At 43.8% G+C, this 20,678-nt stretch overlaps 1 long non-coding RNA gene across 2 annotated transcripts, besides 1 other annotated feature; it reads left to right on the plus strand.

Moving 5' to 3' along the window:
• The first annotated feature begins 9,298 nt into the window (after window positions 1-9,298).
• On the plus strand, window positions 9,299-11,669 carry LOC124909368 (uncharacterized). 2 transcript variants are annotated; one of them, XR_007095878.1, is made up of 2 exons: window positions 9,299-9,452; window positions 11,001-11,669. It is a non-coding gene; the product is annotated as an uncharacterized LOC124909368 (long non-coding RNA). The 2 variants fall into 2 exon arrangements; XR_007095877.1 differs by having other exon boundaries at window positions 11,004-11,669.
• Window positions 18,929-19,429: an enhancer, noted in NCBI's record as "H3K4me1 hESC enhancer chr3:40625449-40625949 (GRCh37/hg19 assembly coordinates)". NCBI's record gives its function as "activates a minimal SCP1, AML or CMV promoter by ChIP-STARR-seq in naive H9 embryonic stem cells {active_cell/tissue: H9 hESC(naive)}" and the evidence as "EXISTENCE:reporter gene assay evidence [ECO:0000049][PMID:30033119]".

Below are 20,678 nucleotides of genomic sequence, written 5' to 3' on the forward strand. Positions count from 1 at the left end.
CCTGCCTCTTAGAACCTCTCATTTTCTTTCCATCGTGGAAATCTATCCTCAAGGAAATAACTTCTCAGTGTTCCATCTGCTATTCTGCTACTCCTCAGGGATTATTCAGGCTCCCTCCCTTCCCTACACATCAAGCTCAAGGATTTGCCCCCACCCAGGACTGGCAAATTAGCTTTACTCAACATGCGAGTCAGATAACTAAAATACCTCTTAGTCTAGGTAGACACTTTCACTGGATAAGTAGAGTCCTTTCCTACAAGGTCTGAGAAGGCCACCGCAGTCACTTCTTTCCTTCTGTCAGACATAATTCCTCAGTTTAGCCTTCCCACCTCTATACAGTCTGATAACAGACCAGCCTTTATTAGTCAAATCAGCCAAGCAGTTTTTGAGGCTCTTAGTATTCAGTGAAACCTTTATATCCCTTACAGTCCTCAGTCTTCAGGAAAAGTAGAACGGACTAAAGGTCTTTTAAAAACACACCTCACCAAGCTCAGCCACCAACTTAAAAAGGACTGGACAATACTTTTACCACTTTCTCTTCTCAGAAGTCAGACCTGTCCTCAGAATGCTACAGGGTACAGCCCATTTGAGCTCCTGTATAGATGCTCCTTTTTATTAGGCCCCAGTCTCATTGCAGACACTAGACCAACTTAGACTGTGCCCCCAAAAAACTTGTCATCCCTACTATCTTCTGTCTAGTCATACTCCTATTCACCGTTCTGAACTACTCATACATGCCCTGCTCTTGTTTACACTGCCGGTTTACACTGTTTCTCCAAGCCATCACAGCTGATATCTCCTGGTGCTATCCCCAAACTGCCACTCTTAACTCTTAAAGTAAATAAATAATCTTTGCTGGCAGGACTATGCTGAATCTTCTTAGGCGCTCTCTAATCAGATGTCCTGAATCGTCCCAATTCTTAGACCTCTTATACCTGTTTTTCTCCTTCTCTTATTCCATTTAGTTTTTCAATTCGTACAAAACTGTATCCAGGTCATCACCAATAATTCTAAATTACAAATGTTCCTTATAACAACCCCACGATATCACCCCTTACCACAAAATCTTCCTTCAGCTTAATCTCTCCCACTCTAGGTTCCCACACTGCCCCTAATCCTGCTGGAAGCAGCCCTGAGAAACATCACCCATTATCTCTCCATACCACCCCCAAAAATTTTCACCATCCTAACACTTTACCACTATTTCATTTTATTTTTCTTATTAATATAAGAAGACAGGAATGTCAGGCCGCTGAGCCCAAGCTAAGCCATCATATCCCCTGTGACCTGCACGTACACATCCATATCCCCGGTTCCTGCCTTAACTGATGACATTCCACCACAAAAGAAGTGAAAATGGCCTGTTCCTGCCTTAACTGATGACATTGTCTTGTGAAATTCCTTCTCCTGGCTCATCCTGGCTCAAAAGCTCCCCCACTCAGTACCTTGTGATCCCCCACTCCTGCCTGCCAGAGAACAACCCCCCTTTTTCCTTTACCTACCCAAATCCTATAAAACGGCCCCACCCCTATCTCCCTTTGCTGACTCTCTTTTCGGACTCAGCCCACCTGCACCCAGGTGAAATAAACAGCCATGTTGGTTGCTCACACAAAGCCTGTTTGGTGGTCTCTTCACACAGATGCGCATGAAAATGACAAAAGCCTCATAGGATGGGGCCTTTTAAGACAAAACTCACCTAAGTGCTTGACACATTTGGGATGAAGAGTGTACTGACACATTTCAGACACTCGGTAACTTCAGACTGGCTGCCTGACATGAACCTGAAAATTTCTACCTTCCAGATGGTAGAGACAAAGAGAGAATACTCCCACACGTTTGCAAAGTCAAGCTCTCAAGGACATAAAACAAGACGAAAGGGAAACCTCATCTGGTTTTTGTTTCAGGGACCTGAAGCAAAGTTTGTAACTGACCAGTCTTCAGAGCTAGCTTGAAGAGAGGGCTTATAAGGGACCTACAGCAGCGTTTTATCCCATAGTACCCCTCTTTATGACAGAATAACACAGAAGGACAAATTTATAGCAGAAAGTACACCAGGTTTGCTACAACCTAAGATTTGTCACACAAATCCTTTTTCCCATTAATCAAAACTTTGCAGAGGAGACAAGCGGTGATTTTTACCATTCACTCAGCCAGTTTGCACAGAGAGAGAGAAGTCAGAAGCCTGACTGTAAGAAATCCTTACCCTTTTGCCAACTTGCCAGGTTTCTGGGTTCCCTTTCTCCGAGTGGTTTTGAGACCCTGTTTGCTATACTGTAGCAGTGGGGGCCAAGCTGCATTACAAAAGAAAATCATCTTTTTCTGTTCATGGAAACATAGGGAAAAGCCTCTCAGTTTTGCATGATGCAGCCCAACTGGCTGCATGGGGAAGTGAATTAACATTTTCCATTCAGGCCAAAACAAAATATACGTGACAAAACACAGACACCAGTCACCCCACTCAGCACCCAAGTATCAACCTGGCAAGGCTCAAACTTGCCCCTGTTGGTTCCTGCTGTCTTTGATCCACTAAGTGGGGTGGGATGACCTCTGACCAGGAGTATCAATGGGTGGCCTCCAGGTAAGATGGAAGAGTGGACGGTCACCGTTGAGTTATGCCTGTTGAGCTTCCTTCAGGGCTCACTGAATGTGACTGATCAGACAAACTAGGAAAGCCTGCTGGACTTCTGTCAGCAATTTCCATGGGAAATCCTCTCCACACATACAAACATGCACAGCAAGGTAAAGACAAACAAAAAAGCCTTCCAAACCAATATTCCAGACCAGAAGAGGATTCTTCCAATCTAACCTCCTATTCTCTGTCTAAATGGGGAGAAATCTTCCCAAACTGAGGTTCATCCTACTATTTAGGGACAGCCAGCTAAGACCTTGGAAGGAGCCAAACTGAGTCCTCACAGGAGCCAAACTGAGGCCCTCCATAAGTGCTGAACCAAGACCCCTGAAGGCATTGAACTGAGACCCATCCTAAAAAACTGAGACTCCCATAGGAGCCGGACTAATTGGGAGAAGGAAAGAGATGCTAGCTGGGCTTAGAACACTCACCAGACCAGTTTAAAAACATCTTTCTAGGATGTAGAGTGGTGGCTCATGCCTGTAATCCTAACACTATGGGAGGCTGAGGCAGGCAGATCACTTGAGGCCAGGAGTTCGAGACCAGCCTGGCCAACATGGCAAAACCTCATCTCTACTAAAAATACAAAAATTAGCCAGGTGTGGTGGCACACACCTGTAACCCCAGCTACTTGGGAGGCTGAGGCATGAGAATTGCTTGAACTCGGAAGTTGGAGGTTGCAGTGAGCTGAGATCAAGCCTCTGCACTCCAGCCTGGTGACAGACCGAGACTCTGTCTCAAAAAAGGAAAAAAAAAAGAAAAAAAAGACAACTTTCCAGGAACTAGTTCTTTATTGCATTGCAATTAGGCTCAAGCACCATGGTCAACATCACCTTACTGATAGGGAGAGCAGCAGAGATGGCCTTCAGTGCAAGAGAAATAAGTGGCCACCAGGGCTCACATTCAGGTCCATCATACCAGCAGGAGGTTAACAAACCATGAGCAGGCACCCACCCACAAAGGTGGATCCTAGATGAGCCCTCAAATTTGTAATTGCTTGACAGGTTCTTCCTGCCCACTGCACAGACAAAATCATTTCACTGAAACCAGGGCACTGCAGTAAAGTAAGAGCTTAATTGACACAAGACAGGCCATGCCACATGGAGATGAAGTTATTAATGAAAATCAATCTCTCCAAAGGCTCAGGGGTTAGGGGTTTCCAAGGATAGTTTGGTGGGCAGGGGACTAGGGAATGGGGAATGCTGATTGGTTTGGGATGAAATCACAGGGTGTGGAAAATGGTCCTTGTGTGCTGAGTTTGTCTCTGAGTGGGGCCACAGGACCAGCTGAGTAATGAGTCACAAGCCTGGGTGGGGTCAGTCTGCAAACATCTCCAAAACCAATTATGGGTTCTACACCAGGGATGTTACCTACAGAAGCAATTGGGAAAATCACAAATCTTGTGAATTCTGGAACAGCAGTTGGTTATGGTTTAAGCCTATATGTTAGCAGAATTCAGGCCTTTCTCATAATTCTAACCTTGTGGACTTTCATTAGTTTTACAGAGGCAGTTTAGTTTTGGGAAGGGCTGTTATTATCCTTGCTTTAAGGTTAAACTATAAACTCAATTTCTCCCAAAGTCGGCTTGGTCTACACCCAGGAATGACCAAGGACAGCTTGGAGGTTAGAAGCAAGATGAAGTCTACTGTCGGATTTCTCTTACTGTCTTAATTTTGCAAGAGCAGTTTCATATTTAAGGGTTTCAACATGTGCTTTTTAAATAAGTAAATTACTAAAACATCTTTGTATAAATAGTTATTGCCTTTATCATAATTCAAGCTGCAACTTAATGTCACCAGAAGATTAAACAGTAAATATACAGAGGCTCATGAACTACAAATTGTAAAACAGCTCTCACTGTAAATTAAAATACAGATAAATAATTTCTACAGATATTCGTTTATAAATTGAAGAAACTGCTCCCATAATTATAGAGTTACTTTAAGGACATACGGCAAAAAAAAAAAAATCTTAAAAATTAAACTTGTATATTGTATAGACTTGTATACTGGTAGGTAAATGTTTGTTATTAGCATAAGGGAGGGACATAATGTGAGAATCAGCTAGTTTGGTCTTTCCTTATTAGTGGGGAAAGGGGCAAAATTAGGCATTGTTTACAACTTTATTTGACATGACCCAGATTTTGAGAAAATTGTCTTTTTATCTTTCATTCCTATATTGACAATTGTCATGTGAGAGAACACAGGTCAATCATGGAAACAGACATTTTGAGTCATTTCAACTCATCTAGCTGGACACGCATAGACCCAAAACATAGTTCAATTTATTTCTATTCCAAAATAGAGTTCAATTTATTCCTCAGGAACCAACTGAGAGGTCTTCTGACTTTGCTGGTATGCTAGTGTAAACCAATAAGTATCTGAGACAGGTCTCAATCAATTTAGAGGTTTATTTTGCCAAGGTTAAGGACTGCGGCCCATGACACAGCCTCAGGAGGTCCTGAGAATGTGTGGCCAGGGTGGTTGGGTTACAGCTTTGTTTTACACATTTTAGGGAGACAGAAGTTACAGGTAAAGACATAAGTCAATATATGTAAGTTATGCATTAGTTTGGGCCAGAAAGGCAGGACATCTCCAAGCAAGGGTAGAGGGTGTAGGGGGTTTCCAGGTCATAGGTGGATTTAAAGACTTCTCGATTGGCCATATGGTTGAAAGAGTTAAGCCCTGCCTGAAGAGTTGAATTCAGCATAAAGAAATGCTTGAGTTTAGATAAGGAGGTTGTGGAAGCCAGGGTTCTTGCCACGGAGATGAAGCCTCCAGGTAGCAGGCTTCAGAGAGAATAGATGGTGAATGTCTCTTATCAGACCTTAAAAGGTGTCAAACTCTCTGGAAAATACCTAGTAAGGGAAAGAGATTCTCCACTGAAAACAAATTTCTCTCATAAGAGACAGCTTTGCAGGGCCATTTCAGAATATGTCAAAGAAATATATTTTGGTGTAAAATACTGTGATTTCCTTCAAGCCTGTTATCTGTCATCTGATACTACACCAGAGTCAGGTTGGAATTTGGTATCTTACCGCTACAAGGAATCTATTTTGCCAGTTTTAAGATCTCCGTTTTAATGTTAGTGCTGGTCAGTTGTGTCTAAACTCCAGAGGAAGGCAGGTACAATAAGACAAGTCTGACCTCCCACCACCCTTCTCATCATGGCCTGAACCAGTTTTTCAGGTTTCTTTGGGGTCCCAGTGGTCAAGAGGGGGGTCCATACAGTCAGTTGAGAGGCTTATTTCTGGTTTACACTAGTAATCCAGAGAGGGGATTAAACCCTGTTTAACTCTCCACCCTCATTTTCACCTTGTTTGAAAAAAGATTCACACAGATCCACCAATCATTATTATTATTATTATTATTATTATCATTTTTGAGACAGAGTCTTGCTTTGTCACCTAGGCTAGAGTGCAGTGGTGCAATCCTGGCTCACTGCAACCTCTGCCTCTGGGTTCAAGTGATTCTTGTGCCTCAGCCTCCTGAGTAGCTGGGACTGCAGGTGTGCGCTACCACGCCTGGCTAATTTTTTGTATTTTTAGTAGATACAGGGCTTCACCATGTTGTCTAGGCTGGCTTTGAACTTCTGTCCTCATGTGATCTGCTGGCCTTGGCATCCCAAGGCATAAGCCACCACGCTCAGCCACCAATCATTATTATTGTTAATTTTTTCTTTTAATACACTGTTGCTGGCTTGAATTTTTTTTAACAATTTTTTTTTTTTTTTTTTGGTAGAGATGGTTCTTGCTATGTTGCCCAGGCTGCTCTTGAACTCCTGAGCTCAGGCAATCCTCCCCTGTCAGCCTCCCAAAGTGCTGGAATTATAGGCATTAGCCACCACACCTAGTTCAACAATTATTAACAATTTCCGTAGTTTGGTGTCTCTCTCTCTTTCTCCACACACACACACACACACACACACACACACACACACACACGCACACGCACACACAGCTTTTTTTTCTCTTTTTTTCTGAATGGTTTGAGAGTAAGTTGCAGACATCATGTCCCTTCACCCCTTCACCCCTAAATATTTCCATGACTATATCCAAAGAGCAATAACATTTGCTTATTTATGTAACCTCAACATAGTTATCAAATTTAGGAAATTTAACATTGATCCAATACTATTTTCTAATTGACTGTCTATATTCCAGTTTTGCCAGTTGTCCCATGAATATCCTGTATATAGCTATTTTTATTTCTAAGCCAGGACACACATTGCATTTAGCTTTCATATCTCTTTAGTCTCTAATTTGGAGCACTTTCTCAGCCTTTCTTTGTTCTTCATGACTCTGTATTCTTTAACCTAGGTTTGTCTGATGTTTTCTTATCTTTGAATTCAAGTTATATGTTTTGGACAGAATATCCTAGAAATAATATTGTGTCCTTCTCAGTGTATTACACCATGAAACATACATTGTGAGACTGTCCCATTAGCCATGACAAGAATGGATAAGGTGGTGTCCATCAGGTTTCTGCACTGCTAAATTACTATTTTTTTCTTTTGTAATTAATGAGTACTTTTGTGGGCAATAGTTAGGGTGTATGTGAATAACCTGTTCCTCACAAACTTTCACCTATTCTTGGCTGAATTATCACCCTAATTTTAAAATATAGATAATAGATAGATATATAGATATATCTATATAGGTATATATATCTGTATAATGAGCGGAGCATGAGACAGAAACTGAATCAACTTTTACAATTCTACTAAATTATCCTTGGCGTGTAAAATAGTTGCAGAATGCCAGCAAACTTCCAACTAGTTCTTCAGTAGATTGACAAACCAACCAGTCAGGTGAAAGCTGCAGATATTTTTAAACAGAGCTATCAGCAACCCCAAGAAAAGAAAGAATAAATTCAGGCTGAGACTGAACCTGGTAAGTCCTCAGGTTACATTCTCCTGCTACTCAGAGCCAGATAAACCTTGACTGTGTGACCCTCAGGCAATCCACCATTAATCTCAGGACAGGGAAAAGCCTTTATTTCTGTACGGAGTTACTGAATGCTTATTTTCAAAATGTGCTTGGTTTCCAAGGCAGAAGTTCTTTCCTGAGGAGGGGCTTTCCTTGTTTGCAACCAATCTTGACTAGTAAAGGAAATGCACAGGCCACACCCACCTTGTGCTCCTCCAGTGCCTGGCGATTAAGGGCAGAGAGGTCCCTGGCTTTGTGGGGATGGCTGGGATTGGGCTTTCTCTGGCTGCTTACATGTGGTACATTTACTTCTTTCTAAAGAAATCATTTGTTTTATATTCATTGGTTCTGCATGTCCCCTGACATACATCATATGAAAAAGTGTTAATTCAGAAAGAAGACCTCAAATCGGATGGTCGATCAGTGACAAAGTTCTCCTGGGCTTTTCTAAGCACCTGTGGCTCCAGGATGGAATTATTCTCACAGCCAAGTAACAGTACAGTTATTTTCATTCATCTGTTTACTTGGAAAGAGAATTAATGTTTATGGGCTTATACAGAGATTTATGTATAAGGAGAGTTTCCACAGCATTATCATAAAGAAAACTGATGGTCAAAATAAGTGTTCTTCAAGCAAAACAAAAAAGCAAAAAACAATCTACTAGAATGGCAAGAGACCAAACTTAGTTTTTATTCAAATATAATTAACATACAATGAAATGCACATATCTTGAGCATTTGATGAATTTTGACAATTGTATATACCATGCACCACCACCAAAACAAGATATATAGAAAATTTTCATCACTTCAGAACGTTCTCTCCTGTTTCCTTCCAATCACTACCCATTACCTACAGGCAGCCACTGTTCTCATTTCTCTCACTACCTTCCCCTGCGAGGTAACTGCTATTCTAACTTGTATCTCGAAAGGTTGTTTTTGCCTGTTTTAGACCTTCATATAAAGGGAACCATACAGTATGTACTCTTTTTGGAGTTTAGTTTCTTTTTTTTTTTTGAGACGGAGTTTTGGTCTTGTAGCCTAGGCTGGAGTGCAATGGTGCGATCTCAGCTTACTGCAACCTCCACCTCCCGGGTTCAAGTGATTTTCCCGCCTCAGCCTCCCAAGTAGCTGGGATTACAGGCATCTGCCACCACGCCCAGCTAATTTTGTATTTTTAGTAGAGACGGGGTTTCTCCATGTTGGTCAGGCTGGTCTCGAACTCCTGACCTCAGGTGATCAACCCGCCTTGGCCCCCCAAAGTGCTGGGATTACAGGTGTGAGCCACCACACCCTGCCTGGAGTCTAGTTTCTTTATTCAACATGTGAGATTCTTCCACGTAGTTGTAATATTTTATTGGTATGTAATATTCCTCAATATGATTTTGAAGCAAATTTCAGACATCATATCATTCTGTTTATAAATATTTCAGTAGGTAACTCTAAAAGATGACGGGTCTACAAAGACCCTAAATTGTTATACCTGAAAGAAATCAGCACAAATGCTGTGGCACATTCTGGTTTTCAGTCTAATGCGGGTGTTGAAAGTTGTGTCCCAGGCTGAGTCAGGAATAGGCAGAGGGGTGGGAGCCTGCTTGTGGCAGAGGAGTGAGGAGTGGGAGGAGAGAATTTATGAACACTTAGTGGGGTTCTGGGGAAGGGCAAGGCACAGAGAATGAGGGAGGAGGGAGGATGCTGTCACAGCACTTGGGGCTTGATAAATGTATGTGGAATAAATGACAACATCAAGGACCTTGGATGGAAAAATACCCTGTTTTCCACTGCTTTTGTCTTTTAGTTCTGGGTTTTCAGCCCCCTGAACTACGCATGTTAAGAAACATTTATAAGGAGTTATGTGTATTTATTATGCTTAAAGATTCAACTAGCCTGCCTTAAGGTACGTAATATCTCTCAACCCCAAATACCCTTTCTTCTCTTTGTTTAAAATGCATCTTTATTCATATACCCAATTTTTCTTTTTATTGGTATTAGATTTTGACTACAAGAGATTGGTCTCATTCCCAGGTTACCATGAATATGCCTGCATATCATCTTTTTTGTTCATTAAAAACATTTTTTCCCCATTTTAGTTTTCTATTCCAAAAAAAAGTGTGTATTGACCCAACCCGCATGCAAATCAGTAACAGCACATTTCATGTTCTTGGTATATTTCCCTGTGCTTGCCTCTATTTCTGCAGCCCTCCTGCTGTTTTCCTGCCTGTGTGTTCTTTTATTCTGTTGATAGCTTTCATTTTGGTCTTCCCTTTGCATCTGGCCCTTCAAGCTGGGCTGCGGTTCCGCGCTGCGGTTGGGCCATTCAGTGATTGGACTCTGTCCAGCCCCTGCCAAATGCTGTCTCTTTCTGTAGCAGGAAAATGAGCTTAGGATATCTTTCTTATGGTGTCTTGAATGATGTATTTTGCTTTGGGTGCAAAAGCCCATACCAACTTGAAATGCTGTCTATGCTCTGTATTTAATAATAAATAGAGTAGCAACAGTAATAATAATAGTAGAAACAGCCTTACACTTTTGGAGCCATTGTTGAGCACAGCCCTCCCCCTTGGCTATTATTTTTCGATAATAGTCAAAAAGGTCTATAGATTATATTGCAAAATATCTTCATGAATGTTTTGTTGTGCCAACATTTTTCCCTGTGCTGTTATGGATTGTATCATAGTCCTCTCAATAGAAGTGAAAATTTAAAAATGAGAATTATTCTAGCTGATGACCAGAATAAATATTCATAAGAAAAAAAACTCTTCTATAATGGCAGGAGAGTAAGCCTTATTTTTATTGAAATATGATTAGCAGACAATGAAATGCACATCTTAAGAATTTGATGAGTCTTGACAATTGTATACAGTCATATACCATCACCAAAACAAGATCATAGATCATTTCCATCACCTCAGAATGCTCCCTCCTGTTCCCTTCCAGTCAATACTCACCCCTCAGAGGCAGCCACTGTTCTGATATTTATCACTATAGAGAGGTTTTGCCTGTTCTTGAATATTGTATAAATGCAGTATGAGTGCTCTTGTATCTGACTCTTTTTTCTACTTATTATTATGTCTGTGAGATTTATTCATGCTGTTGTGTGTATGTATAGTCCATTCCCTATTATGCTGAGTAGTATTCCATTATGTGTCAGGTAATTTGTTTATCTGTTCACCTGTTGATGGGCATTTAAATTGTTTTCAGTTTTGGACTATTTTGAATAAAGTTGCTATGAACATCTGTGTGCAGGTCTTTATGTGAGTGTGGCAGAAGTCTCTAAAATGTCTCCCAGTGATCCCTGTCTCCTGTTGTTCTTGACCCTGTGCAGTCACCTCTCTTGAGTGTGGGTGGGACTTGTGACTCCTTCTAACTAACAGAATCTGGTAAAGGTGATGGGATGTCATTTCCATGATTATGTCACATATGACTGTATCTTTCATCCTGTTAGCAGGTGCTGTTGACTCTTCTGCTGGCTTCTATGAAATAAGCTTCCCTATGGAGACACCTACATGACACGGAGCTAGGGGTGACCTCTGATCAAGAGCCAGTGAGAAATTGAGGCCCTCAGTTGAGAGTCTGCAGGAAACCAAATCCTGCCAACAACTATATGAGCTTGGAAGTGGTTCCTTCCCTAGTTGAGCCTCTGATGAGACCTGAGCCCTGGCTGGTACCTTGTTGGCAGTTTTATGAGAGGTGCTAATGAGGAGGACCCAGCTAAGCCAGGCCCAAACTCCTGGCCCACGGAAACTGTGAGCCAATAAATGCAGCTTTTTAAAGCTGTTAAGTTTGTGGTAATGTTACACAGCAATAGGTTAAAACAGTGGGCACGCATTTTTAACTATCTTGGATAAATATCTAAGAGTGGAATGACTAGATCATATAGTAAGTGTATATTTAACTTTTGAAGGAACTGCCAAACTCTTGTTCACATGGGTGTATATTTTTATACTCCTTCCAGCAGTGTATGAGAGTTCCACTTGCTCCACGTCCGCAACAACATTTTGTGTTGCCAGTCTTTTTGATTTTCCATTCCAACTGGCATGGAATTATCACATTGTGGTTTTTAATTTGCATTTACTTGATGACTAATGAGGAATAAACCTGTTTTAACCCATTATGCAACCTGTTCAAAATTTGTTTTTCTTCCAAGAGAAATACAGCTCGTTTGTTAGCTTAAGGTTTTTGGTCCTTGTTATTTGAGATACACAGATGAAAAGACAGGATTCCTGACTTAAAGAAACATAATGTAAGGAACACATCAACATATTATTGCATGTAAAATATAAAATGGGGAATAGAAAACATGAGATATTTACTATATACCTCATATATAAAATGAAAAATGAAATGGAAAAATGAGTAAATTAGTATACTGATTGCTAAGTGAAATAACATGTACTACTATGCCTTAAGGTAGGTGTTTGCAAATTTCATTTTAACATAAGGAATCTGAAGCTTACAGACAATTACCAGTTGAAATGGGCTGGGCTATGCTGCAGTAACAAACATCTCTCCATATTTCAGTGGTTTAAAACAACAAAGGCTTATTTCTTGCCCATATATACGTCCATCATGAGTTGGTCTGGAATTCTGTTCCGTATCTTTGTTGTTTTCATTGTAGAACTCTGGCTAACAGAGTGTGCACCACATTGCTGATACAGTGGCAAAAGGAAAAAAAAAGCATAGCAAAGATTGCACAAGCTCTCAAAGTTTCACCTAGTAGTGATATATTCACTTTGCTCACTTTTGTGGACAAAGGACAAAGGACTCCAGTGGGGCAGGGAAATATAATTCCATCCTCTAGAGGTAAAGTGATTTACCCTAAAGAGCAGAATCTTGACTCAACCCGGATCTTAAGATTCTAAACCTAATGCTTTTCCTTCTACACCGTAGTTGTCCTAAATGATCCTTAAAATAATATTGTTTCATTTACCTACTGTTTCCATAGTGTTTTTGTTCTATTTCTAAGGTTGAAATATTCCCTTATTCATTTTTCATCAAAATGAGCCAGATAGCTCATGTAAAAAGAATTTATTTATTTAGCATGCCTGCTTATACACAGATGCGTATTTTCAATTTCTTCATTTCCAGTTCAGAAAGCTCTGTTGGTAATGAATTTTCATTAAAGTAGTACAAGATTGTAAAATAAAATAAGCTTTGACACATTTTCCAAAATAATCAACACAAACCCAATGTGAGAACCAGTCAATTATTACCTCTGGAATCAGTCCCAGATTATTAAAATGCAATTATACTCAGAAAAGTAACCCAGCAGGGGACCACATTTTTTTTTTTCTCAGTCATTTTCACAGTAAATTTTTTTAGGGTCTAGTGGACACCTCTTCCACACTCTCCTCCTGATAGCTGAACAACACTGTAGGTTCACCCAGGACTTAAGAATACCAGAATTTGTTTCTCCCTCCATTGGTTTCAAAGACACCAATTAGATACTAAATCAGATATGGTTAGATATGATCTGTAGATGGGTTTTATAGCTCACAGTGTTTACAACTTTAAAAGATTAGCTGCCGGTACTTAAAAATTGTGCATATAAGTTTGGATTTGCAGCTTCTCTTGGAAAACTGAAAGAGCTGATAACCCTGGGCCTCATTTCTATGTGGCAATACTTGCCTGATACTGAGTGACAGCTGGCCCTTTAGGAGGGCCAGGTGCCACAGAGATCCTCATAGTCCCCACCTGGGACCTCTTCACTTACCTGAGTTTCCCGATGAAGGTACACAGAAATTGAAGCTTTCTCAGCATCTGTCTCTTCCTGATTCTCTGCAGTTTTCCAAGCCCCAGCTGTCAGAAGCCCCCTGATACCTTGAGCTGCTCAGCAGATCTTCCCTAAGAGCTGCCTGTAGGGGTAAGAACCAGATGCCATAGCAGTAATGGCCAGTGAATTCAGCCCAGAGCAGTGCACAATTCCCTTGGTTCCTGTCAGGAATTTAAGGCAATGCCTGAGCTTCCCCTGACTTGGTTCCCCAACTTGCCTTTCTGCTTGGGCCCTTGTTAAACTGACAGTCCACCCCTTGTTCATTCCTATGAGGTGTACAGATTCTCAGAGGTGGCTGCAACCTTCTATTCCTTGATAGCCCTCTCCTGGTTTGGACCCTAGGCTTCCTGCTTACCTGTAGCCTCCGCTTACAGCCTGGAACTTACCTCCTTCGACTGCCACAGCTCAGGGCTTTCAAGTGGGCATGGTGTTGCATCAAGTTGTTAATTGGCTTACATTTTGTTATTTATTTGCACAGGGTAAATATGTAGCAGGGTCTTTTTTTTTTTGAGGCGGAGTCTCGCTCTGTCGCCCAGGCTGGAGTGCAGTGGCGCGATCTCTACTCACTGCAAGCTCTGCCTCCCGGGTTCACACCATTCTCCTGCCTCAGCCTCCCGAGTAGCTGGGACTACAGGCACCCGCCACCACACCTGGCTAATGTTTTTGTATTTTTTTTAAGTAGAGACGGGGTTTCACCGTGTTAGCCAGGATGGTCTCAATCTCCTGACCTTGTGATCCACCCGCCTCGGTCTCCCAAAGTGCTGGGATTACAGGTGTGAGGCACCACACCTGGGCTGTAGCAGGGTCTTTGCCTTAGGAGGCAGGATGATGAACTGACCAATGGGACACAACAGGTAGTCCAGAAACCAGAAAAACACCTATATAGCCACCTGATTTATGACAAAGGTGACACTACAGTATAGTGGTGAAAGGTTGTATTTTTTATTTTATTTATTTTTTTGAGATGGAGTTTTGCTCTTGTTGCCCAGGGTGGAGTGGAATGGCGCTATCTTGGCTCATTGCAACCTCCGCCTCTCGGGTTCAAGCTATTCTCCTGCCTCAGTCTCACAAGTAGCTGGGATTACAGGGGCACACTACCACACTCAGCTTATTTTGTATTTATAGTAGAGACGGGGTTTCTCCATGTTGGTCAGACTGGTCTCAAACTCCTGAGCTCAGGTGATCGGCCCGCCTTGGCCTCCCAAAATGCTGGGATTACAGGTGTGATCCACTGTGCTTGACCAGGTTGTTTTTTTAAAATAACAGTGTTGGGTGTATTGTATATCTACATATAAAAAGTCTGTCTTTATCTCTGCCTCACACATACACCAAACTCAATTCCAGGTGAATTGCAGATCTAAAACAAGTAGGACTCTGAAAGAATACATAGGAGGAATCTTCAGGAGCCTGCAGTACTGCTTGTTTATTTAGTTCACTTTTTAAGTCATTCCACACAAAGGAGGATTGAAAGCCTACCATATATTGGGCTTCGTGCTGGGCAGCAGTGATACAAGAGTGAACAGTTTAGTTGCCCTCCAAGAGGATGCAGTTTAGTTGGGGAAAGACACAAGAAGCAAATGAGTACAACAAAGGGTGATGAACCCCCTAACAGTATATTAAGGGAGCCCAGAGGCAAGGTGAAGTAGGGTGAGGGAAGACTTTCACCCTAGTGCATGAGGGAGGAGTTAGCTGGGAGGAGTGGGGATAAGGGCACGTCTGGCAGAGAAACCAGCATGTGCAAAGGCAAGGAAGAACCGGGCACACAGATTGCTACCCATTTCTTAAAAAGGTGTAGAAACTCTCTTGAATTATATGCTGGCTTCTTGCTGAGAAGTATCACGTGTCAGTTTAGCACATATGTCACAACATGTGATGTCAATGATGGGTATTGTTATCCCAGTTTTACTGATGGGAAAGTGGATTTGGGGCACTTGGATGACTTATCCAAGTCCATCCAGCTCTCTAGTTGAGATGGTGGAATTAGAACTCATGTCTTTGGATCCCTACTTTTGTATTCTTTCCATTATGCCATGTGGCTGCTAGGTCAGCCCAAATCACGCCTTTGGAACATCATAGAGCCGAAGGCTTTAAGGGGAGTAGGAAGGACGCTCACACAATCTCTGGCTAGGTTTACAATTGGCCAGGTTAATGCCTTCAGGCTGCCCAGCATACATAAAGCTAAGGGACCAGCAAAGGGAAGGTTATATGAATGTGGTTACAAAGGGTCCAGGTCACAGATGTGCTGAGTCAAAAGTGTCTATTTTACACTATATGACTCTAAATGGAGGGGGGTGGTCCTGAAAGGAAACGCATACTTGGACGCCATGCCCAACATCTGCCACTAGGTGGAGCTCAGATGCAGGCATAAACCCTCAGTTTAAGGGTTTGGCAGAGGCTGCATTAGCACAGAGGGTAGGTGACTGTGCTCACATCTCTAACAGAAACCAGGATGGAGGCAGGAGGCCTTGGACACAAGCAGGATGACAATCCCACTTGCAGGCCTGCTAAGATCTGCCTAGGTCCATTTGCAAATCCTGGGCTGAATGTCATTGTTGGCTCCATGAGGTCTCTGTGCCCTGAAACCATCAGGGAAGCTGGAATTAGGAGCCTGGGCTCTTACCTTTGCTTTGCCTGCATTTATCTGTGGGGGTACACAAACAGCTGTATTTGGACTTTGAAATGATTATGGTACCTCACCTTTTTCCCACATGTGTAAAACACAACACTGGCCCTACAAGACCCCAAAACATGCATGATGCCAACTGGCAAGGAAGCATCTTTCTAAATTTCCTTGTGGCAAAATTCTGCTTGGGCTCATCAGACCTATTCTCTTTTTCTCCTTTCCTGGTGCCCTGTTTTGATATCCATTGGGAAATCCATGTGAATGACTAGCAAATCTCTTGTCATTTCACAATGTCAGTGTTTTCATGTTGTGATGTGGGGACAGCTTGTGCCTTGTAGGGCTGCTGTGAGCAACACATGTAAGAACAGAATCAAGAGGGCTTTGCAAACTGGGAAGTGCTCTATATGCTTATTGCAGCTCCACTTGTGGTGCCAAGTCCTCTGTTGTGCTATTTATGCCTCCTCCTCCTCCTAGACAGCATTTTTCATGTGCGAGGCATGGTTCTAAGTATTTTGTCATTCAGAAATCTTCCCATATCCTGTAAGGCAGGTGCTTCTATATCTCTTGCAGGCTAGTTTGTGGCAAAGGGGGCTTGAAATGGAGGTTCGTTGCTTCAAACTTTGAAATCAGGGGCCTCACTACTACCCACAGATGGCCTCTCCTGCTCAAAGACATGTTGCTGCAATGGAAATCCATGTGCCTTACTTTCCACATTTTCATTTGTTACCAGATGGAGGCTTAAAAGTAGTTCTCCCTGTGGTTCTCACCTCCCTTTGTATTCGCCTCCAGCCTCAAGGCCCTTGCTTGGGCCCAGCTGTTCTCCACGCCCCATCTACTTCTCTCTTCTGGGATGGAGCAGAAGAGAGGAGGAAGATTGAGGGGACCTGGGAGAGCAGAATGGGTGAGCCCTACTCTGTGTGTCCTGCTGCAGGGAGGGTGGGTGTTGCCTTTGCAGGGATGAGGAAAAAGTAAGGGGTCCCTCCACTCCTAAGCACCATTAACCTTCTGTTAAGCATAGGGACACCTCCAGGATATAGTTGTCATTGATCCATTTGGGTGCTGTTGGTTGAAGTCACACTGGGCATGGCGAATTAGAAAATGCAAGACACTTTTCTTCATGGTAGCAGCCTTCTCATTGCCTGAGGGTCATCACCTCCAACCTTGGGCCAGAAAGGAAGCTCGTGATGCACCCTCCCTCCCTTCTGTCAAAGGGCCAAAGGGTGTTCAGGAGCCTCCCAGGTCACAGAGCTTCATCCAGGAGCTGGGCAGGGAGCAAATGGCATTGGACCTGGGGCTTTTTCATTTTTTGTAATTTCATGAAGGGATGCCTGTTTTTACAAGGTTCATGGTTAGTGCTCAAATTCTAAATTGATGAGAATAGTAGGGGGCTGTGCAAAGGGGGAGGGGCAGGAGGTATGTTTTATAAATGTATCAAGCTATAGCACCAGCACTGAATGAAAAGAAGGAAGCCAGCTAGACAGAAAGAGCATTGGTTGTTAAGGTCCCCTTTGGTCCTAAGATCTGGGATTCAAAGACTGGATCTTATTCATTTGTTTTCATTGAGGTGTAAATGACTGACACATTGTTCTGCTGTCCTTATGGTTTACTCAAGAATGATAGACAAACTTCTCTGAGCCAGATTCTCCAGGCAGCTGTTCCAGGGGAAAACAAAAGCAACTGCAGCTCTGTGAGGAGCCCTCCTGTAGCTCCCAGCTACATACAGGAATAACCTCTGCCAACCCTTCCAGGAGGAGGAAGCTCTAGTGGGTCAGACAAGCCAGGGTGGACCTGGATCCATAGCTCAGTGACACCTCCTTGGGCCTGTCACCCCACCCCGGGCCCCATCGGCACCTCTGGCCAAATCACACTGGAATGATACAGTTGGCTCCTTTCCTTGGCCACCCAGGGGAGGGAGTGGGGCCAGAAGGGAACTTCTCCTCCCAGAACAAACCCAAAGGCAAGTATTTAGACCTGTAGACAGGTCTCAAGTCCCAGTTTCCAATGCAGCAAGTTTGGGTCCCTGAAGACAGGGGTGGTCATGTGCAGATGAAAAGCAATCAGGGAATCAGCCAAATCTTTGCTGAGCGTGTTACAGCTGACTCTATGTGGGAAGACAGGACAGTGGTGAACAACTGCCTGGGGAAGTAAACGTCATAGGAATACACAGGTGGGGGTGAGGTGGGAGCTCAGAGCAGGGGCATGCAGGAGAGGGAGGACGTTGCAAGAGTTGTCTGACAAGTCCGAGTCAGCCACATGAAGAAGGGGTAGAAGATTTTCCAGGCAAGGGAGCAGCTTGTGCAAAATCACAGAGGTGGGGCTGGGCACGGTGGCTCACGCCTGTAATCTCAGAACTTTGGGAGGCCGAGGCGGGTGGATCACCTCAGGTCAGGAGTTCAAGACCAGCCTGACTAATATGGTGAAACCCCGTTTCTACTAAAAATACAAAAATTACCTGGGCATGGTGGCACATGCCTATAATCCCAGCTACTTGGGAGACTGAGGCAGGAGAATCTCTTGAACCTGGGAGGCAGAGGTTGCAGTGAGCTGAGGTTGCGCCACTGCACTCCAGCCTGGGTGACAGAATGAGATTCTGTCTTAAAAACAAAAAACAAAAAACAAAAAAAACTCCAGAGGTGGAAGACAGCAAAGCAGCTTTGCCTTGCTTGAGAGGTAAGTGGGCCACTTAGGAGGGTTCAGAAAAGGAAGGAAAACCCAAAGGTACACTACAGAGTCTTAAACTAACAACGCTGGCAGAAAACCAAACGCCCTCAGGAGTGTCTGGTCGTTCCTGTGACAGCCAGGACTAGGCAGGCCAGAGGGCCCAGATGAGCGCTGGCCTTGCCTGTAGCAGCAAGGCTGGAGGTCCTTCACACTAGATTAAACACAGATCACTTGGAAGGCCCTTGCATGCCCAGCCCCCTCTGAAGGTCACTGATCCTGAGTGTCTGGCACTGAGTTGTAGCTGCGGCCAAATGGGAAGTGCCTGGTCAGAGGTTATGTTGGCATGGTGTTTACAGAGTCAGTCCCTGTGTGCGGAGACACAACCCAAAGCGGCCAGGGCTGGTGGAGAAATGCAGGGCCATCAGGAGATTCCAGAGGCCATAGTGTGATCAGGATGTTTCTCGCTCTACAAATTTTCCTGAGCCCTGGCTCAGGGCCTGGTACTCTGCAGGGGCCTGGGATCAAGAAGCCTCTCCTAACTGCCCAGCAGGGGTAAAGACCCCTGATCCAGGACCACACCCAGCTTGAGGGATGGGAAGATACCTCCTGCCGCCCTACTCCTAGCTTGGCCCTATGGGCCGGGTGTCTTCTGGGCTGGTATGGTCCAGTTTGGGTACTGGAGCTGCAGTTCTATCATTCCATCTTCCCTGAGGAGAGGATCTTGGTGTTGATGGCCAACCGCACATAGGGCCATGGAAGGAGCACCAGTGTCCAATACCAAAACTGGATAAGCCAGTTGCATCCAATGGGTAAATCTCTTAACTTCTCAATTTTTCACCTGTGAAAGGGATTGACGTCTCTACCTTGCAGGGTTAATGGTTGAACGGGACAATGTGTAACGCTGAGGCCCAGGCCCAGCTCAGTCTTCCAGCTATAGCCTGGCACCTTGTAGAGGAGCATTCTCCTGCCACCCTGAGCTGGATGGACAGAAAAAGTCTCCACTGATGAGCAGAGGCCTGGCTGAGCCATTGGCCCCCGGACTTGGCTTGCTTTCTGGCCAGCCTGAGGCTCATGGCCTGCAGGGGGCAGCAGCGGGACGCACCGCCTAGGCCAGGTCTCCTGGCCCGGCTGCTTGGCTCTCTCTGCAGAGTCTGGGATGGAAAGTTCTCCTTTGCGCAGTGAATGCAGCTTGGGTCGATTTGTTTTTAAATGGGTAATGTTTGCAGTTCTTTTATACAAGCCCTTCACATCTGGCATTCAAAGAAGATAATCAGTCTAGACTATCAGACCCGATAGCAGCTTGTATGAAATTTGGGCCCGACTTTGCAGTAAAAGTGCCTCCCTGCTCCACGCCGGCGCTCCCTCCCTCTCCCTCCTTCTCTTCTTGTGACCTTTTATCTCAGCGGGAGCCCTGACTAGAAAGAGGGTTCTGGAAATGTGGTGTGTTTCTCATTAAGTTTCTGCAGCATAAAAGTCACGTGATGCAAAGCTTTTTTTTTCCCCTGTCTCCTGTCTTTCCCCTACGTAACTACAGTAACTCCTGCTGCTTAGGTTCCATTTAATTTGAGATGATTGAAGGCCGAAATCTTGTTGATACGAAGATTAAAAAAAGTCTGTTTCTAGGGTGCTGGTGGTATGTTTGGTTCATTTTTCCTTGGCAGTATGTTTTCCTTGGTGGTATGTTTGGTTCATGTTTCCTTGGTCAAACAATTCCCAATAAAATCGGTCCTCTGCTAGGGACCAAACAGCCCCTTTTCTTTTCTCTTTGCACATCTGTAAATTTCTTTCTTTAAAACTTGAGGCTCTGACTTGGGAGATTTTCATGCTGGGTGGCCAGACTTCTGAGAGGGCCCAAAGGAACCTTGTGGGGCTGTGAGGAGTCTCAAAGCACTAGGAGGGCCACTGCCGTGAACAGCTGCTCTCTTCCCTGCATCTGTTGAGAGACTCTCATCTGAGCCCGGTGGTCTGTGGCAACAAATGGAGACAGAGAGCAAGAGAGAGCGAGAGGTAACGAGAGAGAGAGAGAGCACCATAGGTTCTGACAACTGCTCGAGTCTCCTTTATCT

Source organism: Homo sapiens, chromosome 3 (assembly GCF_000001405.40).
Source record: "Homo sapiens chromosome 3, GRCh38.p14 Primary Assembly".
Classification (NCBI taxonomy): Eukaryota; Metazoa; Chordata; class Mammalia; order Primates; family Hominidae; genus Homo; species Homo sapiens.